Below are 24,539 nucleotides of genomic sequence, written 5' to 3'. Positions count from 1 at the left end.
CTGACCCTGTGCCTCCAAGGAAACCAACAATTATGATGCAACGTGATGATTGGTACTTCAGGAGTACCCTGAGTTCAGGGAATCAATGTGCATTGTGGGCCGGGGTGAATGGGAAGGGAAGGGGGTCAGGGAAGGCCTCCTTAAGGAAGCTGCCAGTTAAATGAAGCCCCAAATGCTGAGCAGGAAGCGGCCAGATGAACAGAATAGGGGAGGGTTGTCTATGGCCATACTATCCTGAGCGCACCCCATCTCCTCTGATCTCGGAAGCTCAGCAGGGTCGGGCCTGGTTAGTACTTGGATGGGAGAATAGGAAAGCCTTTCCAGGCAGAGGGAGCAGCGCTTGTGAAGGCTCCTGGAGTGGGAGGCGTGCCAGAGGCGGGACAGGGGCTGCAGAGGCGGGGCGTGAAGGTGGCTGGGCGTGAAGTTGGGGTGGGCGTGAAGGTGGGGTGTCCAAGTCCGACGTACAGATGTTGGGGAGTGATTGGGCCTCGCGGCACAAGGACTCTGTGGCACGGGAAGAAGAAGACTTTAAACCATGGTGGGGCCAGGCGTGGTGGCTCACGCCTGTCATCCCAGAACTCTGGGAGGCTGAGATGAACAGATCACCTGAGGTCAGGAGTTTGAGACCAGCCTGGCCAACATGGCAAAACCCTGTCTCTACTAAAAATACAAAAATTATCTGGGCATGGAGGCGGGTACCTGTAATCCCAGCTACTCAGGAAGCTGAGGCAGGAGAATCGCTTGAACCTGGGAGGTGGAGGTTGCAGTGAGCCAAGATCGTGCCATTGCACCCCAGCCTGGGCGACAGAGCGAGACTCTGTCTCAAACGAAACAAAACAAACAAGCAAAAACCATGGTGGAAGTGAGCACCCCAGGGCTCTGAGTGGTGGCCCTGGGGACAGTGCTCTGGGCAGGCTGCCCTTTGCCAGGCCCGTGGGGGGACTAGGGGAGGCCAGCAGTCTGCCAGCCCAAGGAAGGAGGCCCCAGTCAGGCTGGCGGCGGGGAGCTGAGCAGATGTAGAGGTACAGGGAGGCACCGGCTTGCTCATCCCGAACAGTCTCTGAGCGCCATCAGCCTCAGGCCAGGCCCTGCTGGGAAATCCCAGGTAAACTGGCCACTGTCCTGCCCCCTAGGACCCCGTAGTCTGTGAGGGGGCCCCTGAAGTACCCAGGGGTGGAGAGGTGGAGGACAGACGGACACAGCGCGGTGCCTGCCTCGAATCCTTGTCTCTGTGTGCCTTTGGTTATTGTTGACCCAGAAACTCTTTCCACACCATGATTAGTGTATTTAATATTAGCCTGAAACCCAAAGAGATGTCACGAGGCTGATGCCTGGATGCAGATGAAGGAGAGGGGGCCGGGGTCTGGGAAGGCTTCTGTCACGAGGCACGTGCCTGGATACAGATGAAGGAGAGGGGGCCCGGGGTCTGGGAAGGCTCCTGGGCAGATGACCTGGCAGTGTGGGACTGCCCAGAGGCTCAGGAGGGCAGAGAGTGGAGCCACTGTGATTCTGTGGCGACACCTGTCTCCCCTGCACTGGCTGGGCTGGGATTAACTCCAAGTAGGAGGGGACGTAGGAGAAGTGTTGGTCTCTGTCCATGACACAAAGACAATATAGTGCTGGGCCAAGGACGAGGGGCAGGGGCAGCCTCTGCCAGCCCCGTGTTTCCAAAGAGCAGGCTGGCCACCCCAACATCCTGTTGAAAGGTCTGGATTTGTACACAGCAAAATGCCAAGCTCTTATGTCACGGCTGCTTCGTCGCGTTCTATGAACAGCATTTCCAGGAAAGGCCTCATTTCACAACAAGCTGAGTCCTGACGGATCCTGCTCTGGCCCCGGATGGGAAGAGTGACTTAATCAGCCCACCCTAGGAGTAACATGGCATTTCCTTCTCAGGCCAGACGTTTTTCCATTTTGCCCATAAGAAAGTTAGAATTGGGCCAATGGCTTGTTTTAATTTGATCTGCTATGGTTCGAAGGATGCTGGTGGGCTTAAGTTGCACCTAGACTGGGCCTTCTTTTCCTTTTTCATTTTCATTTTCTTTTTCTTTTCTTCTCTTCTTCTTCTTTTTTTTTTTTTTTTTTTTTTTTGAGGCAGGGTATTTTCCTGTTTCCCGGGCTGGAGTGCAGTGGTTCAGTTTGATCTCGGCTCACTGCAGCCTTGACCTCCTGGGCTCAAGCGATCCTCCCATCTCCCCCTCCCGAGTAGCTGGGACCACAGGTGCAGGCCATCATGCCTGGCTTTTTTTTTTTTTTTGTAGAGAGGGGCTTTCACCATGTTGCCCAGGCTGGTCTTGAACTCCTGGGCTCAAGTGATCCTCTGCCTCCCAAAGTATTGGGATTACAGGCATGACCCACTATGCCCAGCCTAGGCTGAGCCTTCTAAGTGGCTGTTGATTCTGTTCTCAGAAGTGGCTGGATCTCCGGGCTGGGAGTTCTGTGCACCATGGGTGAGCCCGTGGTGAGGATTGCTTATCTTTTCTTGGCAAATGTGGCCAACAATCTCCAGTCAACCTGAAAAACAGATATCAAGGCCGTGCATGCCAGAGAACGGAGCAGGAGGGGCGGTTCCTTGTGTGCGTGTTGTCGTGTGTGTCTGTGTGTAAACAGACGTCTGACCCCTGGCTGCCCAGCTGCCCCACTCACCACCTGGGGGCTCTCACTCTCAGGACCTATAGGGCACACTTGTAGGTTCCACTTGCTGTTCTGTTTCCTGGCCTCACATGTTTGGTACCGAGTCTTGTTTCTGCCTCATTTCCCGAGAGCAAGAGCTGGGCTCTCTGAAGCTGGATGCCAATATCTTTCTTTTCTCAATTCTAGAAAACTTAGCCATTGCCAATTTCCTTCCAGAATTCCAACTATGTTATAGGTATTTCCACTCTGATATTTTTCTTTAACCCGTGAATGACTTAGTGGTGTTTTATGCTATCCAAAACAAACATGCGAGATCTTCTTTTAAAATCTCTCCCTTTTGTTGGGAACATCTTGTCTTCGTGTGCTTGGTCCAGGCTCATGGTCTGGGGGAGACCTGGTCTTTGAAGGGCACGGAAGCCCTTTCTTGTGGCCAGGGGTAGTCCGTGACAGATTTCCGAAAATGGCCCCTGTGAGCATTTTTTCTTCTTGGGCTGCAAAACACTATATGCACGTTGTTGACTGAGTTTCAGATCTCAGCCCTTGCTGCTTTTCTGTTGATATTTGAACGATCAATATATTGAGGGATGTGTTGAGACCCCCCCCAGTAAGATCGGTGCTCGCCTGTTTCTCTGTGCATGTCATGGTTTTCGAGGCCACTCTGTCAGGGGCACTTAGGTTTAAAATCGCTTTGTCATCAGGGTGAATCGAACCTTTTATCTTACTTAGTGGCCATCTCTATCCCCAATGAAGCTTTGTCTCAGAGTCTCTTTCAGCTGATCATATCATCCCTTGGCAAGCATTCACGGCTTCATCACTTCCGCCTTTTGTTTCCACCTCTGTGTGTCCTTAGGCTTTATGTGTGTCTTTGGGAAACTGTGTGTGTCATGATGTTTTTAAAAATCCACAGCATCTGTGTCTGTCATTTGACTGATAGATTTAGTCCACTTTCTTTCATTGTAATTGTTGATCTATTTAGACCCGTTTCTACCATTTTAATCTGTTACATCAGTTGGTCCCACTTTTTCTGTATTTCTTTTCTCTTCTCTTTTTTTTTTTTTTTTTTTTTGAGACGGAGTCTTGCTCTGTCACCCAGGCTGGAGTGCAGTGGCGCGATCTCCGCTCACTGCAAGTTCCGCTTCCTGGGTTCACGCCATTCTCCTGCCTCAGCCTCCCGAGTAGCTGGGACTACAGGCGCCCGCCACCACGCCTGGCTAATTTTTTTATTTTTGTATTTTTAGTAGAGACGGGGTTTCACCATGTTAGCCAAGATGGTCTTGATCTCCTGACCTCGTGATCCACCCGCCTCCGCCTCCCAAAGTGCTGGGATTACAGGTGTGAACCACTGCGCCCAGCCTTTTTTCTTTTTTTGAGACAGAGTCTTGCTCTGTTGCCCAGGCTGGAGTGCAGTGGCATGATCTCAGCTCACTGCAACCTCCGACTCCTGGGTTCAAGCGATTCCCCTGGCTGGGCCTCCCGAGTAGCTGGGATTACAGGCATGCGGCACCACGCCCAGCTAATTTTTGTATTTTTAGTAGAGATGGGGTTTCACCATGCTGGCCAGGATGGGCACCATCTCCTGACCTCGTGATCTGCCTGCCTCAGACTCCCAAAGTGCTGGGATTACAGGTGTGAGCCACCATGCCCGGCCCTGTATTTCTTTTCAATGCTGTCTGTTTTCTGAATTAACTTCTGTGTGCTCTCCTGAGCAGACACAGACACACCAGCTGCCCGCATCCTTTGGTCTCCCAGGATGCCCTGATTCCTCTTGTACTAACAACTTCTGGTCTTTTACTTCTGTATTGTTTCAGACATAGATTTCTCCACTTGGTCTTGGCTGTTTAGATTTTCTTTTCCTCTTAGTCTGCGGGCGTGGGTCTTCTTTTTGGTGCTCTGTGAGCCTTTCGGTCACAAGTCTTTGTAATCATTTAATTTAACTTACTTTTTTAAAAAAACTTTATTTTGTTGCGACAAGGTCTCACTCTGGTTGCCTAGGTTGATCTCAAACTCCTGGGCTCAAGCTCTCCTCCCACTTTGGCCTCCCAAAGTGCTGGGATTACACCACACCTGGCCTCATATTCATGTTTTCGAAGGGTTGGTCTGGTCGCTGCATGGAGGATGGAGCCTGGGGGCCAGGGTGTCAGGGGCTGCCAGCTGGGACGCCTGTGCCACCACTGGGTGAGGAATGGCGGCGGCATGAGCTGTGGTGTCGGTGGCTGGTCTGTTTGTTAACCTGGGCCCTCCTAGAAGGAGCTGGGGAGGGCTATGGATCTGTGCTGCAGGTCCGGCCCTGAGGAAAGGGCCCACAGGGCCATTGGCAAATCTCCTGTCCCCTGGGAATGGGCCTGCCTCGGTACCCTTGCCGTGCCAGACCACTGGCTGGGAGCAGCCTGGGGGAACATGGATTTCAGAGCCCAGCACCTGGGACCAGGGCCGATGACACTTCCTGGGGCTGTGGGGGGTGAGGGAGGTGCATTCTCACAGCCTCCACACTCCCCCAGCGTGAACAGCTGGACCTCTCCCTCACCTTGCCTCCGTGAGGATGCATGGAGGGTCAAGGGGATTGTGGCCCTGGCCTGTGCGTCTGTCCCCGCTTCCTCCCTACTTGCTGATGCTCCTGTCTTTTGCTCTGGGGGCCAAGCCACGTTTGACGGGCGTTGGGGTTAAAATGGAATGTGACTGTATTGCTGCTGCAGGTCCCTTTGGAGAGAGGATGGAAAGTCAGGTCACGAGGCGTAGGGAAGAACGTAGGTTAATTAAAGTTTAAAACGCCTCTTTCCGCAGAGGTTCCTTGAGTCAACCCTGAGCGAGAGAGGCGCTGGGAGGGTCCTGGCTGCCTGGGGGCTGTGGCCTTCGGATGGTGCCAGCAGCATTGTCCCCATGGAAGAGTGGCCTGAGTGTGCCTTCAAGCTTTAATGCTTTTAAGCAACATTGAAATTCATCCCTGTACATCCTCAACTGCCTGGGAAACGTCCTAATTCAAGCGGAGAATCTGGGTCAGCTGTTTATAGAATAGTATTTGCTGAATGAAACTGGTGGCCCAGACAGCGGGGGACTTCTTGGGGGGTGGACGCTGGAGGGGACCCGGCCGTGAGCTCACGCGTGTCACCTCTGCTTTGTGCTACACTGTCACTTCCATTCTCAGAGCGTGTTAATTGAGCATTGCAACCTCCGTGGACCATCCGGGGAAAAGGCAACACCACAGCGTGGCTCGTGGAAAGGCTTCTCTAGAGGACGAGGTGGCAATGGCAGGAGCTGCCTTACTTGTAGCACAGGGGACCTGGCCACCATGAGCAGCTCTGTGCCCTGCCCACACCCCCGTCCCCAACACACAGGCGCACATATGGATCCGTGTGCAGCGTGTTGGGTCGGGGAGCCCGTGCCTCTGGGCTGGGCTCTGAGACTCTGTGGGCTCTGGGACTGTGACTTCTTTGTCTTTTTAAGCTCTAGTGCTTGGCTCAGTGTCTGATGTTTTTGGGTAACATAACAAAGATTTGTAGAATAAGTGAGGGAGAGAACGATCTTTGTAAACTCTCCGAATCTGAAGACAGCGCTTAGTGGTGCCACGGTGTTGCAGGTTATTTTGTAGATGAGGCCAGAGGGGCCCTGGGAGGAGAAACCACTCCTGGGAACCAAGGCTGGAAACCGGATGCTCCTGGCACAGCCCACAAAACAGCCGGGGCCTCCTGTCTCGGGCAGAGGCTTCTCCCTCTCGGTGTTTCTTCCTGATTGGGGAATAGAGGCTGGCCCTGCATCTTTGCTTTCTGACTTTTCCCACTGACCCCCAAGCTGAGCCCTGGGAAGGTGGAGGCTGCATTCTGCCCTGAGGCCTTCCCCCAGAAAAGCTGTCCCCAGGCGGAGGCTGCGGCGAGGGGCTGCCGCATCTATTCCTGGGTCCCTGGTGAGAAGGGTTGGTTATTTGACTCCAACCTGTCTCTGTTATCATTGTCTCTAAGTACTTACTATTATGACTCCTGAGTGTGTGCATGTGTGTGTGTACTTGTGTGTGCGCACTGGGCAATAATGTAAACCTATTTCTTATAGTGGGGTCACAGTCAAAAGCTTGAGAAGCCTTCAGAGAGGCTCCATCCATATGTGGGTATGTATGGGGCAGGGGGAGTGTGGAGATAGATTTTCCCAGCGTTCTTAAGGTAGAGAATTTTCCAGCAGTTTTCAAGAGTGATCAGGAAAGGCTAGAAGAATGTTGGGAAGAATTGCTTGGGTCAGCCTCCCTTGGTTATTTATTTATTTATTTATCTATTTATCTATTTATTTATTTATTTGAGACAGGGTCTCACTCTGTCACCCAGGCTGGAGTGCAGTGGTGTGATCTCGGCTCACTGCAACCTTTATCTCCTGGGTTTAAGCGATTCTCGTGCCTCAGCCTCCCAAATAGCTGGGATTACAGGCGTGCAGCACCACACCAGGCTAATTTTTGTATTTTTAGTAGAGATGGGGTTTCACCATGTTGCCCAGGCTGGTCTCAAACTCCTGACCTCAAGTGACCCGCCCACCTTGGCCTCCCAAAGTGCTGGGATTACAGGCGTGAGCCACCACACCCAGCCTTCCTTGGTTATTTAAATGATGGGCAAGCAGGCCCCAGGATGAGCACACAGGGCTTTCGCTGCTAAAACCAGGACGAGCTGGTTGTGCTAGTGGGCCCCACTGGACCAGGAGACGTTTCAGCTTAGAAAGCAGCTGCACATCTTGGAGAGACTCTGGGCAGAGCTGTGAAGGAGACCGGCCTGGATGGGTTGCCTGACCCCCCGGCACCCTGGCTGGAGCTGGGTAAGGGCATGTAGGGGCCTGTCATCAAGCCTGGCCCTGGGGACCACTGTGGTGGCCTGGCAGAGAAGGCAGTGCCTTCCATGGCTTCCCCAGCCTTCCTATGGCATCCACTCTTGGCCTTCTTGGGCACCTGCCAGCCTTGGTTTCTCACAAACTTTTCTGCTGCCATTGCCTGGGGAAGGAGGTACCCAAAAACATGGCACTGATGGAGCTTTAACTTCAGGGATTCTGGCAGTTTTTGCTGGGATCCCCATTTGTCAGCTGCTGTGCTGGGGAGGGAACAGCCCCCCACCAGTAGTTGTCCTAAGATCAAGGCCTGTGCCTTGATGGACAGGAGCTGGGATTCCATCTACCCTCAGACTGACCTTCTCAAGGCCGGTTGACTGAGTGGTGTTGATAAGACCCGCCTTGGAGCCTCCCTGGGGGCCTGAGCTCCTCTCCCTCTGGACCACCTGCTGGGCTAGGACTGGGTCTCAGGCTCTGGGGCAGCCAGGATAGACCGGCCGGTGGGGCTTCTGCTATTCCCAGTGTGGAGGTGGACACGTTCCATGCCAGGGCCTGACTAGGGCATGTCATTTGCACTCCCAGTTGTGCAGAGTGACAGCTGCATTGCTGAAGCATTCTCCTGTTCTCGTTTCTGAAGAAAAGTATTATGGAGAGGTCCGACATTCACAGGAGCAGAGCAAACAGCAGCACTCACGGCAACCACTCGGCCTTGCCAGCCACCCTCGCTTTGCCCAGCATCTCAACAAAGCATCCTGGTCATTTATTTTCCTTCCCTCCTTCCTTCCTTCCTTCCTTCCTTCCTTCCTTCCTTCCTTCCTTCCTTCTTTCCTTCCTTCCTTCTTTCCTTCCTTCCTTCTTTCCTTCCTTCCCTTCCTCCCTCCCTTCCTCTTTCTCTCTTTTTTCTTTCTTCTTTCTTTTTTCTTTCTTTCTTCTTTCTTTCTTTCTCTTTTCTTTCTGTTCTTTCTCTCTCTCTTCTTTCTTTCTCTCTCTTTCTTCTTTCTTTCTTTCTCTCTCTCTCTCTCTCCTTCCTTCCTTCCTTCCCTCCTTCCCTCCCTCCTTCCCTCCCTCCCTTCCTCCCTCCCTTCCTCCCTTCCTCTTTCTTTCTCTCTCTCTTTTTCTTTCAAGAGAGGATCTTACTCTGTCACTGAGGCTGGAGCATGGTGGCATGATCATGGCTCATTGCAGCCTCTACCTCCCAGTCTTAAGTGATCCTTCCACCTCAGCCTCTTGTGTAGCTGCGACTACAGGCACTTGCCACTGTGCTTCGCTAATTTTTGTATTATTAGTAGAGACAAGGTTTTGCTATGTTGCCCAGGCTGGTTTCAAACTCCTGAGGTCAAACAATCCTCCCACCTCGGCCTTCCAAAGTCCTGAGATTACAGGCATGAGCCACCACGCCCAGCCCAAAGAAGGTCATTTTCCCTTTCTTTCTTTCTTTCTTTCTTTCTTTCTTTCTTTCTTTCTTTCTTTCTTTCTTTCTCTCTCTCTCTCTCTTTCTTTCTTTCTTTCTTTCCTTCTCTCTCTCTCTCCCTCCCTCCCTCCTTTCCTTCCTTCCTTCCTTCTTTCCTCTCTTTCTTTTTAAGAGACAGGGCCTCCCTATGTTGCCCAAGCTGGTCTCATACTCCTGGACTCCAGGGATCTTCCTGCCTCAGCCTCCCAAAGTGCTAGGATTACAGGCATGAGCCACCACGCCTGGCCAAGGTCATTTTCTTAAGTAACTAAAGGGCCCCTGTTACACCTTACAGCATCGACAGCAATTGCTTCCCCCTCAGCGTCACCACTGGCTCTGTGGGTCCAAAGGACCCTTTACATTTTCAACGTTTAAGTCATTTTAGAAATACAGGCAAACCTCATTTGATTGCATTTCACTTAATTGCATCTTGCAGATATTGTTTTAATGTTTAAACAAATTCAAGGTCTGTGAGCAAATCTATCATTTTTTCCCCAACAACATGTGCTCACTTCATGTCTGTCTTGTCACGTTTTGCTAATTCTTACAGTATTTCCAACTTTTTCATTAGAATTATATCTGTTACGATGATCTGTGATGTTACCATCATCACTGTTTTGGGGGACCACAAACCGTGTTCTTCTGAGATAGTGAACTTAATGGATAAACGTTGTGTGTTCTGAGTGCTCCTCAGACCGGCCGCTCCCCCATCTCTCTCCAACTCCTCAGGCCTCCTTAAGCCAAGATAGGCCAAAAGCTAGGTCTCTTGCGACAGACAGCCAAGTTGTGAACACAAAGGAATAGTTCTTGAAGGAAATTTAAATGTGCTACTCCGGTGAACACATGGATGATGAGAAAGTGAAACACCCTCACTGCTGCTATGGAGGGAGTTGGAGTCTGGATAGATCAAACCAAACACAACATTCCCTTAAGCCAAAGCCTCATCCAGAGCATGGCCCTCACTCTCTTCAATTCTGTGAAGGCTGAGAGAGGTGAGGGAGATGCAGAAGAAAAGTTGAAAGCCACCAGAGGTTGGTTCATAGAAAGAGGGCTTTCATAGCTAGAGAGGAGAAGTCAATGTCTGGCTTCAGAGCTTCAAAGCACAGGCTGACTCTCTTGTTAGTGGCTAATGCAGCTGGTGACTTTACATGGAAGCCAGTGCTTGTTTACCATTCAGAAAATCCTAGGACACTTAAGAATATGCTAAATTGGCCGGGCGTGGTGGCTCACGCCTGTAATCCCAGCACTTTGGGAGGCCGAAGTGGGCAGATCACTTGAGATCAGGAGTTCAAGACCAGCCTGGCCAACATAGCGAAGCCCCATCTCTACTAAAAATGCAAAAATTAGCCAGGCATGATGGTGCACCCCTGTAATCCCAGGTACTCGGGAGGCTGAGGTGGGAGAATTTCTTGAACCTGGGAGGCAGAGGCTGCAGTGACCTGAGATTGTGTCACTGCATTAAAGCCTGGGTAACAGAGCAAGACCCCATAGCCCCCCGACCCCCCCTCCAAAAAAATGTCCAGTCGTGGTGGCTCACGCCAGTAATTCTAGCACGTTGGGAGGCTGAGGTGGGTGGATCATGAGGTCAGGAGTTTGAGACCAGCCTGGCCAATATGGTGAAACCCCATCTCTACTAAAAATACAAAAAAAATTAGCCAGGTGTGGTGGCACGTGCCTGTAGTTCCAGCTACTGGGGAGGCAGAAGCAGAAGAATTGCTTGAACCCGGGAGGTGGAGGTTGCAGTGAGCTGAGATTGTGCCACTGCACTCGAGACTGGGTGACAGAGTGAGACTCCATCTCAAAATAAACAAACAAACAAAAAGAATATGCTAAATTGACTCTACCTCTGCTCTATAAATAGAACAATAAAGCCCGGATGACAGCACATCTGTTTGCAGTGTGGTTTTCTGAATATTTTAAGTCCATTGGTAAGACCTACTGCTCAGAAAAAAAAAAAAATTATTTCAAAATATTACTGCTCATAGACGATGCACCTCGTCACCCAAAAGCTCTGATGGAGATGTACAAGGGGATTAATATTGTTTTCATGCCTCCTCACACAACGTCCACTCTGCAAAGAGTGATTTTGACTTTCAAGTCTTGTTATTTAAGAAATACATTTCATAAGGCAATAGATAGTGATTCCTCTGGTGGATCTGGGCAAAGTCAACTGAAAAACTTCTGGAAAGGATTCACCATTCTAGATGCCATGAAGAAGATTTGTGATTCATGGGAAGAAGTCAAAATATCAACAAACATTGACAAGAGTTTGATTGGGTTTTTTGTTTGTTTGTTTGTTTGTTTTGTTTGAGACAGGGTTTCATTCCCATTGCCTATGCTGGAGTGCAACAGCGCAATCTCAGTTCACTGCAACCTCCTCCTCCCTGGCTCAAATGATTCTCCAAGCTCAGCATCCCGAGTAGCTACAGGTGCCTATCATCACACCTGGCTAATTTTTGTATTTCTGTATTTTTTGGCTGGGCTGGTCTCGAACCCCTGAGCTCAAGTGATCCACCTACCTCGGCCTCCTGTAATGCTGGGATTATAGGCATGAGCCACTGCGCCCAGCCAACATTGACAAAAGTTTGGAAGAAGTTGATTCCAACCTCATGGATGACTTTGAGGGGTTTGAGACTTCAGTGGAGGAAAGAGCTGTAGATGTGGTGGAAATAGCAAGAGAACTGGAATTAGAAATGACGCCTGAGGATGTGACTGAATTGCTATAATCTCATGAGAAAACTTTGAACAGATGAGGAGTTGCTTCTTATGAATGAGCGAAGAGAGTGGTTTCTTTAGATGGAAACTACTCCTAGTGATGATGCTGTGAACATTGTTGAAATGACTGCACAGGATTTAGGATATTACATAAATTCAGTTGATAAAGCAGTGGCAGGGTATGAGAGAATGGACTCCAATTTTCAAAGAAGTTCTACGGTGGATAAAATGCTATCGAACAGCATTGTATGCTGCAGAGAAATTTTTTTATGAAAGGAAGAGTCACTTTATGCAGCCAACTTCGTTGCTGTCTTATTTTAAGAAATTGCCATGGCCACCCCAACCTTCAGCAGCCACCACCCTGATCAGTCAGCAGCCATCAACATTGAGCCAAGACCCCCACCGGCAAGATGATTACCACTCACTGAATGTTCATGTGATTGTCTGCATGTTTTTTAGCAATTATATATATATATATAAAGATGTGATCTCTCTGTGTTGCCAGGCTGGTCTCAAACTCCTGGCCTCAAATGATCCTCCTGCCTCAGCCTCTCAAAATGCTGGGATTATAGGTGTGAGCCACTGCACCCAGCCAGAAATAAAAATATTTAAATTAAGGTATGTACTTTGTTTTTTTAGACACAATGCTATTGCACACTTAATAGACTATAAATAGACTATACTATAACGTAAGCATAACTTCTATATGCACTGGGAAACTGTGACTCACTTTCTTGTAGTATTAGCTTTATTGAGTGGTCTGGAACAGAACCTGCAGTATCTCTGAGGCGTCCCTGTTGGTCATTTGCAGAAGTAAGAATAAAGGGATGGTGAAATACAACTTCATTAGACATTTTAGAATGAAGACATAGCAAACTGAACTTTTTATTCCATGTTTGTGATTTTGAAGGTATATTGGTAGCATCCTTTGAATGCAACTGGCTACTTATCACCTGCCTTGCATGAGCCTGGAACTCATCCACCTTAAAAGTGCTAATTCCAGGTTTCAACTGCACTTCTAGGGGTGTCTAAGCTAACATTACTTTTCCTTCTTCTTGCACTGATGTTGTCAAAATGTGATATTTGGATGAACTTTTTGAAATCGTTGACACTTACAATTTTGTTGGAGACAGTGTGGCCATTTTCTTTGTTCCATGATTGCAAAACATTTTCATTTTTTGATCTATAAACACCCATTAGAATGATCAATTAATTTAAAATTTTGCATTATCTATTTCCTCTCAGTATCTTTGTATAAACACCTGCTTTTGGCATTTGTCCACTTATGAAATGTATCCCATTTTGTTCACAAACATCAAAAAATGTGAAAGTATACCATCATACATCCTTTTAGAAAAAATGCAGTGGTCCAAGTTCTTATTACAAAATATTGAGTGAAGTCTTGCCTGTTAATTGAATGCAAATTTTTTGTGTCATTAGAAATATGGATTTGAGAAAATTTGTCTGGGATATGGTCATCTGAATGCTCACTGAAATTTATCCCATTTGATTGATTTCACCATCATCATTAGCCTCTGGCTAATGGGACAGAGTGGCTGTCTGTCCCTTCTACCATATATATATATATTTTTTTCTTTTAAAGAGACAGGGTCTTGCTCTGTCACCCAGGCTGGAGTGCAGTGGTGTGATCATAGCTCACTGTAGCCTCTAGCTCCCAGGCTCAGGCAATCCTCCCACCTCAGCCTCTGGAGTATCTGGGACTACAGGCATGCACCACCACACCTGGACAATTTTTCTTTTCCTTCCTTCCTTTCTTCCTTCCTTTCTTTCTTTTTTTTTTTTTTTTGAGGTGGGGTTTTGTCATGTTGCCCAGGCTGGTCTCGAACTCCTAGGCTCAAGCAACCCACCCACCCCAGCCTCCCAAAGTGCTGGATTACAGGCCTGAGCCATGGAGCTTGGCCTTCCCCTAGCTGCTTCTTCTTCTTCTTCTTCTTTTCTTTCTTTTTTTTTGAGATGGAGGCTTGCTGTGTCTCCTAGGCTGGAGTGCAGTGGTGTGATTTCAGCTCACCACAACCTCTGCCTCCCAGGTTCAAGCAATCCTCCCACCTCAGCCTCCCAAGTAGCTGGGATTACAGGCATTCACCATCACGCCTGGCTCATTTTTGTATTTTAAGTAGAGATGGGTTTGGCCATGTTGGCCAGGCTGGTCTCAAACTCCTGGCCTCAAGTGATCCGCCCACCTCAGCCTCCCAAAGTGCTGGAATTACAGGCATGAGCCACTGTGTTGGGCCTTCCCCCGCTTCTAATTGCCTATAATTATGAATGTCTCCCTCAGTCAACTTTCTTCTCCTTGCTGTTATGGGTGAAAAATGAAAAATTCAGAATGCTTGATTGTATTGTTCAATAAGAGTGAAACAAAGGAAAGCCTGTCATCTCCAGAATTATCTTCTACCTTCTTGAAAGTTGATGCAATACTGTTAGCAATGTAGTGAGAAAACGGAAGGATACTGTGGCAGAGATGGTTTATTTCATTCTGCTTTTTAGGCAAGTGCATCAGCTTTTCATTTTTTTGTTATTTTAGTCTCTTTTAGCATAACTGGAAATACTTAAATGAGTGATGATGAAATAATTCTCAGGATGATGAAATAGAAAAATATTTCAAGATACAGGAAAAATAAGATTCCTGATTCCAAAATATATCTTAGATTTACAAAAGGCTTGAACCAATCCCTGTAGGAATTGCAAGACAGAATGGGTTTTGTTCTGTAGAAGGTCTCTAAGACAGAATAAAATTCACAAACTATTAATCCTTATACAGTGCTAGAACTACTCAAAAAGTAAACTAAAAAAATAAAAATAGGCCAGGAGTGGTGGCTCACGCCTATAATCCCAGCACTTTGGGAGGCTGAGGCGGGCAGATCACTTGAGGTCAGGAGTTCAAGACCAGCCTGACCAATAGGGTGAAACTCCACTTCTACTAAAAATACAAAAAAATTAGCTGAGTGTGGTGTTGCATGCCTGTAATCCCAGCTACTCAGGAGGCTGAGGCAGGAGAATCACTTGAACCTGGGAGGCAGAGGTTGCAGTGAGCCAAGATTGTGCCACTGCGCTCCAGCCAGGGCAACAAGAGTGAAACTCTGTCTCCAAAAAAAAAAAAAAAAAAAAAAAAAAGAACTCACTGGACCCTGCTGGTAAATTGAAGATTAATATCATTGAATATCCAACTGCCACATTAAATGTACCAAGTACCAAATTAAATTGCTCTGTTCAAAAAAACGTCTTTTTATAGTTGAGTTACTTAAATCAGGATCTAAATAAGATCTGCTCACGGTATGCACTGCCGTCTTGAGGTCCTTTGAAAGTGTCTTTTAATTTAGAACTGTCACCCCTCCTTAGTTTAATGCCATTGACTCATTAAAGAAACTGGGTCAGTTGTCCCGTACATGTCCCACATTTTGGATTTGACTGATTCCCTTCTCACAAGGTCATGGACCTGCCCCATATTTCCTGGAGTCTGCATTGGATCGAGGCTCAGTTTTGTCTTTGGTGGTGGTGGCAGGGGCTCCTCACCCCTGCCTGGCTGCACTGGTCTGCATAGAGGTCTTCTCTCCCTCCTGTGCCCTCACTCTGCCTGATCTGCCAAGGGGCCGGGAGTGGTTGGCTAGGGCCCGGCTGCTCCCACCTCCTTTCTGTGTTGGGGAGTAGGTGCTGGCTTAGAGCCCAGAGCTCTGGGTTTGGGCCTGGCCTTGCTACCCACCAGTTTGGGTTGGGCTTTAGTGTCCTTACCTGTATCCTGGGAATTATGTTACTTGTCCTGTTTACCACTCAGAGTTCTTGTAGGGATAAAAAAAAAAAAAAAAAAAAAGGACTTAAAAGGCTTTGGAAGCCATCAAGAGCTAATTAGGGTGCTGATGATTCTCCCCCTTAGCTCTGCAATGCAGGACTCCCTCATCCTGCCCCGCCCGGACAGCTCACCTCCTGCGTCCTGCCTCCTGCCCCCTCACCCCGCCCTGAGCACCCGGCTGTGTCCAGGGCTGATCTTTGCTGTGCACCCCACGTGCTGCTGGGGGTTCTGTAGTAGGCTTCAGGCCCTGGATGAGGCCAGGCTGAGAACCGCTGGTTGACACAGATACAGACCACTGGGTGGGCATCAGGGTGCTTGCTGCTGGGATACAGGAATATTTTGGGGCAAAACTCTAGGAAGCCTGTTTATAAAAGGCTGCTCCATTTTGGCCTGCAGAGAAATGAACTTTTGGCATATGAGTTTGGAATCTGGAGGAAGAGAAGCTTAACTGACTTCTGAAGCAATTTTTGGAGCTTTGTATTGGAATATGAAATACATACAGAGAACCGCAGGTACCTAAGTGTGGCCCCATGACCACTCATACACCGACCACTTTGGAGGAACTGGCACCCACATCGGGAAACAGAACATCACACCCCCTCTCAGAAGCCCCCTTTACGCCCTGTGCTCGGTGCCCTGCTGGTGATCACTATCCTGATGTTCCCGAAGCATTTTAAAGGCTGGTTGTGATGAACTATAAAGATGGTTGGACTGTGCTCAAAGCAGATCCAGCCAGTCCCTCCCTGTCATCAAGTCCCATGAATGTGCCCTTCCCGCCAGACTTCTCAGCACTGCAGTTCCCCAGGGGGCTCACCTTTCTCAAAAGTGAACTAGGAATGCTTTATTTCTCTAGAAAGGATTTGTTTATACCGAAAGCCAGGAAGTTTGGTTAGGTGGCAGCAGAAGTAGGCGAGTGAATAGGATGTGTGATTGGAGGTCAGCATGGCTGGGCTCTAAAGAGGGTAGGCGTGTGTCCCCCCACACTCGGCCTGGTCCACTCCTGTGTGTGCTTGTGTGCTCATGTCTGTGCATGTGTGTGCATCGTCTTCGTGACCAGCCAGCAGGTGGAAAGCAAGTGCCTCTTCTGTGCCAGGCATCTGTGTTAGCTGCACACACCAAGATGACTCTGATCATCCCTGCTGTTGAAGGGCTACTGTCTAATGGGAGAAGCAGGCATGTGGACACACTGGCTTGGTGTTGACGAACAGCAGAATGGAATGTCAGACTAACCTGCATCCAAAGCCTACTATTAGGTTGGTGCAAAAGTAATCGTTGTTTTTGCCATTACTTCCAACGGCAAAAAACGCAATTGCTTTTGTTTTTTGTTTGCTTTTTTTTTTTTTTTTTGAGACAGGATCTCACTCTGTGTCCCAGGCTGGAGTGCAGTGGCATGATCTCGGCTCACCGCAATCCTGGGTTGAAGCGATTCTCCTGCCTTAGCCTCCCCAGTAGCTGGGATTACAGACATGCGCCACCACTCCCGGCTAATTTTTGTATTTTTAGTAGAGACAGGGTTTCACTGTGTTGGCCAGGCTGGTCTCGAACTCCTGACCTCAAGCAATCTGCCTGCCTCAGCCTCCCAAAGTCGTGGGATTACAGGTGTGAGCCACCGTGCCTGGCCAAAAACCACAATTACTTTTGCACCAAGCTAATAGTTGCTGGGAGGACTGGAGAAAATAATGCATATGAAAGGCTTTTCGTAGTACCTGGCCTATACTAAGCCCTCTGCAAACGCTGGTTGCCATCATTCTTTCTTTCTTTTTTTTCTTTCTTTCTTTTTTTTTTTTTTTTTGAGATGGAATCTCACTCTGTCATCCAGGCTAGAGTGCAGTGCAATCTCGGCTCAGTGCAACCTCCGCCTCCCAGGTTCAAACGATTCTCCTGCCTCAGCCTCCCAAGTAGCTGCCACCACAGTTGCCTACCACCAAGCCTGGCTAATTTTTATATTTTTAGTAGAGACGGGGTTTCACCATGTTGGCCAGGCTGGTCTCGAATTCCTGACTTCAAGTGATGGGCCTGCCTCAATGTCCAAAATTGCTGGGATTCCAGGAGTGAGCCACCACGTCCGGTCCTGCCATCATTCTTAACAAGAGCGCCCCCACCATCGTCCAGGGAGAGATGGAATATCCAGAGAAGAACAGAGCTCACAGAAGGTATGGAAATGGTGCAGAGCTTCCTGTCCTGGGGTCTGTTGACAGAATTCAGGGGTTCCATGAGTGCAGGGGAAACTTGTATCTTTAGTCTCACTAATTTCTACCTGAAATCTAGCATTTTCTTTAATCACGAACATAGGCAACAAACCAGAGTAGTATTAGCAGGGTCCCTGAGTTTGTTACCATCACAGACATTGTCCTGCTGCGTTTCAGTTGTAGCAGATCTAGAAGTGTCAGTGAGGCTCACCATTTGAACCCATAGCAGCTATTAGATCAGCCATAGACCTGCCTAATAACAGTAAAGATCATTATATCACCCAGTTACTGTTTTAAAAACACTTGGTAATATTTTCAATATATTTGGTTTCATTTGTAACCTTATGTATTTTATGTTATGCTGTATAAATGGTACCCTGAAAAGGGCTCTATAGTTTTTACTACATTGGCAAAGGGGTCCAGAGCACAAGATCCAGAATCCGTCTGGTGGGGAAGGGAAGGATTCCTTTGTGGGGCAGGCAGGGCATGTCAGGAAGGCTTCACTGTGTGGAGGAGCCTTACACAGGGTTTTTTTTTTTTGTTTCTTGAGACAGTCTCACTCTGTCACCCAGGCTGGAGTGCAGTGGTGTGATCACAGCTCACTGCAGCCTCTAACTTCCAGGCTCAAGCGATCCTCCCACTGTAGCCTCCCAAGTAGCTGAGACTACAGGCGTGCACCACCACACTCAGCTAATTTTTAATTTTTTTTTTTTGGTAGAGATGGGGTTTTGCTACATTGCTCATGCTGGTCTTGAACTCCTGGGGTCCAGTGATCCTCCTGCCTTGGCCTCCCAAAGTGCTGGGATTAGAGGCTTGAGCCACCACACCTGGCCCCCTATTGGCTTTATGGAGAATATAAAACTTGTCCCTTTTTGTCATGAAAAAGCCATCTGGTGGCTGTCCTTAGCTCCAGGCCTGGCTCCCAGTCAGTGACTCTGACCCACAGGGAACTAAACCCACCTAGAAAGGGACATGGATTTGCAATGCCTAATTGAGTATTTTAATTTAGTCCTATGATATTTTAGTTTGAAACTAAAAGGAATTTAGTAAAGGGAGTGTGGCCAATGTTTAAGGACCAAAGACCTAGGGAATGTTTTGTTTGTTATTCAATTGCAGTATTTGAAGCAATTAAATATATAATTTAAAAGGTTTAAGAGTTCTCATTTAAACCAGCTTGTAAATGAGACTGAACGTAAACCACAAGCCCCTCTGTAAACAGTTGTTAGAACTGGCTGGATTTATCCACAGCATGGTCAGGTTTTTAAGCTGATCTTCAACACTTAAGGAAAAACTAGGTTTTTAAGTGTAGAACTTTAATACCTTAAATATATATATTTTAAAACCGAAGTAACTGCCACTAGTCATTTATGTGCACAGAAGTCTTTCTTTCTGTTTTTTTTTGGCTCACTGCAGCCTCCGCCTCCTGGGTTCAAGCGATTCTCCTGCCTCAGCCTCCTCAGTAGCTGGGACTACAGGTGTCTAGCACCATGCTTGGCTAATTTCTGCAGTAGAGACGGGGTTTCACCATGTAGGCCAGGTGGTCTCAAACTCCTGACCCCAAGTGATCCTCCCGCCTCAGCCTCCCGAGGTGCTGGGATTATAGGTGTGAGCCAGCACACCCGGCCTGCAGAAGTCTTTTTTTTTTTTTTTTTTGAGACAGAGTCTTGCTCTGTCGCCCAGGCTGGAGTGCAGTGCCGTGATCTCGGCTCACTGCAAGCTCCGCCTGGCGGGTTCACGCCATTCTCCTGCCTCAGCCTCCCGAGTACCTGGGACTACAGGCACCCACAACCACGCCCGGCTAATTTTTTTTTTGTATTTTTAGGAGAGACGGGGTTTCACCGCATTAGCCAGGATGGTCTCGATCTCTTGACCTTGTGATCCGCCCGCCTCAGCCTCCCAAAGTGCTGGGATTACAAGCGTGAGCCACTGCGCCCGGCCAGAAGTCATCTTTAAACATCTTTAAACCTCTTCCTGTGGCATCCGCAGGCCCTTGAGATGCTCATCCGAATCTGCTCACCCGTGGGCCTTGGAAGGAGGAGGCTGAATTCCTCCCAGCTGTGGCTTCCCCTGTGGAATGGGATACTCCAGGTCTCCTGGCCTAAGGAAGCGGGGGCTGGGACTCACTGAAGGCTGTAACATTGGGTTGGGGGTTACAACCAGCAGTTTTAAAAAAACGGAGTAGAACTAGGGTTACCAGGTGAATTACAGGATACCCAGTCATATCTGCATTTCAGATAAGTAACTTTTTTAAAGTGTGTATGTCCCAAATATTCTATGGGGTGGAACACACTAAAAAAAAAGTATTTACCTGAAATTCAAATAGCAGGTGTCCTGTATTTGTATTGCTCAATCTGGCAATCCTAAGTAGAATGGAAGAGAAAGTGTGGGAAGGGGCCAGGGCGTGCAGGGGAAATGTGATTGCCTGTGCATTTGTGGGCATGTATTGTAAATACCCACGTGTTTCTTAACTGTGGGTTGGAGCCAGCAGTGAGAAGCCGCTGTCCCTAGTGGTTGTGAGGGCTACGTGTGAGGCTGCCGCAAAGCCGCTTAACAGCGCCCGGGGAGTAACGGGGGCTCACGCCTGTAATCCCAGCACTTTCGGAGGCCAAGGCGGGTGGATCACCTGAGGTCAGGGGTTTGAGACCAGCCTGGCCAACATGGTGAAGCCCTGTCTCTACTAAAAATAAAAAAAATTAGCCTGACATGGTTGCACGTGCCTGTAATCCCAGCTACTTGGGAGGCTGAGGCAGGAGAATTGCTTGAACCCAGGAGGCGGAGGTTTCAGTGAGCCGAGATCGCACCACTGCATTCTGGCCTGGGCGACAGTGAGACTCCATCTCAAAAACAAACAAACAAACAAAAAACCCAGAAAACAGTATGTAGTTTATAGGATAAGGATATAAAGAAAAAATATATGGCTGGGCACAGTGGCTCACACCTGTAATCCCAGCACTTTGGGAGGCCGAGGCGGGAGAACTCCCGAGGTCAGGAGTTCGAGACCAACCTGACCAACAGGGAGAAACTCCATCTCTACTAAAAATACAAAATTAGCAGGGCGTGGTGGTGCATGCCTGTAATCCCAGCTACTTGGGTGGCTGAGTCAGGAGAATCGCTTGAACCCGGGAGGCAGAGGTTGCAGTGAGCCGAGATCACGCCATTGCACTTCAGCCTGGGCAACAAGACAGAAACTCTGTCTCAAAAATTAAAAAAAAAAAAAAAAAGGAAAGAAAATATTTTTATACAGGTGTACAATGTGTGTTTTAAGCTAAGTGTTATTACAAGAGTCCAAATGTTTTTTAAAAAGTAAAAGGTATATAAAGTTAAACCATTACAGTAAGTTAAGGCTAATTTGTTATCAAAGAAAGAAAAATATTTTTTATGAACTTAGTGTGGCCTAAGTGTCAGTGTTTACAAAGTCTACAGTAGTGGCCAGTAATGTCCTAGGCCTTCACATTCACTCACCACCCACTTGTGACTCACCCAGAGCCACTTCCAGTCCTGCAAGCTCCATTCATGGTAAGTGCCCTAAACCTGTGTGTCATTTTTTACTTTTTATGCCATACTTTTACTGTACCTTGTCTATGTTTGTATCTGTTTAGATACACAAATACTTTTTTTTTTTTGAGACAGAGTCTGGCCCTGTCACCCAGGCTGGAGTGCAGTGGTATGATCTCAGCTCACTGCAATCTCCACCTCCTGGGTTCAAGCGATTCTCCTGCCTCAGCCTCCCAAGTAGCTGGGACTACAGGCACCTACCACCATCCCCAGCTAATTTTTGTATTTTTAGTAGAGATGGGGTTTCACCATGTTGGCCAGGCTGGTCTTGAACTCCTGACCTCAGGTGATCCACCTGCCTCGGCCTCCCAAAGTTCTGGGATTACAGGCGTGAGCCACCATGCCTGGCCTAGATCCACAAATATTAATACTTACCATTGTGTCACAATTGCCTACAGTATTCAGTACAGTCCCACGTTGTACAGGTGTGTAGTAGGCTGCCTCATCTAGGTCTTTGTCATGATGTTCACGCAGCCACGAAATTGCCTAATGACACCTCTCAAAATGTATCCCTGTTGTTAAGCAACACATGACTGTATACATAGATACATTTGAAAATAAATTTTTATTTAAAAAGAATATTTGTTTAGAAATAATATTTATTTTAAAAGAATGACAAAGCCATAACATGTTAACATTAGTCATTATTTTTAAATGAAAAATAAGTATGTTCTGAAACCACAACAACAAAGTTAACAATAAGGGTGGCATTAGTTTTCATTTTTGTCAATATCTTTATGGTCTGGCTTGATAGGAGACAGGTAGATTCTCATATCTGCTTCTGCATGAGTCTGTTGTGATACGTTGTTTTGGTTGAAGTTTGTGGGGAATATTCAGCCGCTCACAGACATGCTGTTGGAAAAGGATGAGTAATTCAATACAGTCTTTAGATAGTTGTGACTATCCTTCTTTGATACCACACCAAAACTGGAGATGTTTAAAGATTAGTTATCATGATTATTTAAAGATTCTTTAAAAGATGAGTTATAATCAAAGATTGGTTAAAATGTGGATTAAAGGTTAGTTATAATGTGGATTCGAGATTATAATCTTTAAACTGAAAGGGTCTTGTACATTTTCATTTACTTTATGTATATGATGTGAAGTAGAGCTCCAACTTCGTTCTTCTGCAGGTGGCTCTCCGCTCTCCCAGCTGAAGAAAAGACTGTTCTTTCCCCACTTCACCCTCACATTTGGGGGTCAATTGATTTTGATGAGAGTGCCTTGGCTCTCATCAAAATCAACTGACCCCTAAATGTGAGTTTCTTTCTGGAATCTCAGTTCTATTGTATGGGTCTATATGTCTGTCTTTATACAAGCACACACAGGTTTGACTACTGTAGCTTTGTAGTAAATTTTGAAATCAGAAAGTGTGAATCCTCCAATCTTTGCTCTTTTTCAAGATTTTTTTTTGGCTGTCTGGGTTCCTTGAGTTTCTACATGAATTTTAAGATCAGCTTAATTCCTACAAAGAAGCCAGCTGAGACTCTGATGGGGATTGTCTTGAATCAATGTTCTTTTTGCTATAACTTATAGAGTAAATTAAACAACTGAAGGAAGGTCCCTGTGAGCTGCAGTCCCGGGAGAAGAGGAAACCCTTCAACATGGATTCTGGAAAGAACAGCCTTGGCTTTCTTCTGAACAAAAAGTTCTGGCCCAGCTGGACCCGGGGTGGGCACCGGGAGTGCAGGCTGCTAGTCCTCTCCTGCCAGCTTTGCGAGGCGTGGGGAGCACCTGCAGCATGGCTCACCTGAACCCAGTCCCCAGGCCCATGGCCTCCGAGAGATGAACACTGGCTGCCCAGAAGCAGGTGTGGGTAGGAGGGCAGAGGGACTGCCCGCAGGCGTCCCTGGGCTCCCTGGCTCCTTTCTGCTGATGTGCCGCCTCAGTCGGACAGAGGTTTCAACACACTTGTACCCTTCTCAACACAGGCCAGGCGTCTCCGGGGCCTGGAAGAAAACCAAGGTCAGGGGATCTCCTAGTTCAACAAGGGAGAACAACATGTAAGGAAGATAAAAATTAAAGCCGTGTCGGATGTGAGACACCCAGGGTCTCATATGACAAGACGCGAGTGGACTGCAGGCTGGGGCGGAGCTGTGGAGAGGGAAGACCCGGGGTGGGGCCGGGGAGAGGGGAGGCCGGGGCGGGGTGGGGGTGAGCAGTGGGATCCAGGAAGGTTCTCAGAGGAGAAGATGCCCACCCACACTGGGATTACAAGGAAGATAGGAATTTGTCAGAGGGCAAGGGGACAGCGGGAGGGAGTGACCAAGGGGGTCAGCAGGGGCAAAGGCCAGGAGGTGGTCACAGTATAGGTGTGTGTGGGGATGGAAGGTGTCAGCACAGCTGAGGCTGGGGAAGGGACAGGCAGGGCATCCCCGTCCTCGAGAGCCAGGCCAGAGCACTCGGGGACTGTCCTATGGCCAGCAGGAACCTGAAGGGCTTAGGAACATCCCCTGGCAGCCAGACACAGGATGGAGGGGAGGGCGCGGGACGGTGAAACCCTCTTCTTCTGGAACTCAGCCCCTCTGTCTGGGAGACACAGGAAGGAACTGCCAGGGCTGTGGACTTGCACAGTCTTGCCTGAACTATCTCATCCCTGGCAGTTTTGTTTGTTTGTTTTTTGTTTGTGTTTTAAAGATAGGGTCTTACTCTGCCACCTAGGCTGGAGTGTGGTGGCACAATCATGGTTCACCGCAGCCTTGGCCTCCCTGGCCCAGGTGATCCTCTCACCTCAGCCTCCGGAGGACCTGGGTCCACAAGCACACACCAGCACACCCAGCTAATTTTTATTTTATTTTATTTTATTTGTAGCGATGGGGGTCTCACTATCTTGCCCAGGCTGGTCTTAAACTCCTGGGCTCAAGTGATCCTCCTCCCTCAGCCTCCCAAAGTGCACCTGATATTACAGGCATGAGCAGCTGCGCCTAGACCCTGGCAGCCTTTTGAAATGGAATGTATCTGTCACCATCTTTGCAGATTAGGAAGCCAAGGCTAAGAGAAAAGAGTGACTTCTTCAGGGTCACCCTGTCATCCATGTCGGTGGGGAAAACCCTGGACAGCCCCACGCTACCCTGATTTCTTTCCCTCATCTCTGTCCTCAGACTGGTCAGCAGGGCATGCAATGCCCACCAGAGGGCACCAAAGGCCAGATTTGCCGTGCACTCCCACACCGTTTTGAGTCTCAGATGCGGCCTCCATTGATTAGAGTCTCAGATGCGGCCTCCACTGATTGAGTCTCAGATGCAGCCCCATTGATTGAGTCTCAGATGCAGCCCCTATTGGTTGAGATCCCCAGGTGCAGCCTCCACTGATTGAGAGCTTCACATGCAGTCCCCATTGATTGAGAGTCTCAGAGGCAGCTCCCATTGATTAAGTTTCAGATGCAGCCCCTGTTGATTGA

General features: G+C 48.3%; 1 long non-coding RNA gene across 1 annotated transcript, besides 3 other annotated features; it reads left to right on the top strand.

Annotated features, from left to right (window-relative positions):
- Window positions 1-110: 110 nt before the first annotated feature.
- Window positions 111-23,179, top strand: LOC105370686 (uncharacterized). Its single transcript, XR_944246.2, has 3 exons — window positions 111-286; window positions 17,349-17,548; window positions 22,676-23,179. It is a non-coding gene; the product is annotated as an uncharacterized LOC105370686 (long non-coding RNA).
- Window positions 3,146-3,589: a transcriptional cis regulatory region, noted in NCBI's record as "candidate enhancer chr14.2493 targeted for multiplex CRISPR interference". NCBI's record gives its function as "positively regulates EIF5 gene expression in K562 cells {active_cell/tissue: K562}" and the evidence as "EXISTENCE:mutant phenotype evidence [ECO:0000015][PMID:30612741]".
- Window positions 5,402-6,378: an enhancer, noted in NCBI's record as "H3K27ac-H3K4me1 hESC enhancer chr14:103777212-103778188 (GRCh37/hg19 assembly coordinates)". NCBI's record gives its function as "activates a minimal SCP1, AML or CMV promoter by ChIP-STARR-seq in naive H9 embryonic stem cells {active_cell/tissue: H9 hESC(naive)}" and the evidence as "EXISTENCE:reporter gene assay evidence [ECO:0000049][PMID:30033119]".
- Window positions 14,907-15,407: an enhancer, noted in NCBI's record as "H3K4me1 hESC enhancer chr14:103768183-103768683 (GRCh37/hg19 assembly coordinates)". NCBI's record gives its function as "activates a minimal SCP1, AML or CMV promoter by ChIP-STARR-seq in primed H9 embryonic stem cells {active_cell/tissue: H9 hESC(primed)}" and the evidence as "EXISTENCE:reporter gene assay evidence [ECO:0000049][PMID:30033119]".
- Window positions 23,180-24,539: the final 1,360 nt, after the last annotated feature.

The sequence above is a fragment of the Homo sapiens genome, chromosome 14 (assembly GCF_000001405.40).
Source record: "Homo sapiens chromosome 14, GRCh38.p14 Primary Assembly".
Lineage (NCBI taxonomy): Eukaryota > Metazoa > Chordata > Mammalia > Primates > Hominidae > Homo > Homo sapiens.
The sequence above is the reverse complement of the archived record's forward strand: the minus strand, read 5'-3'. Positions and strand labels throughout refer to the sequence as shown.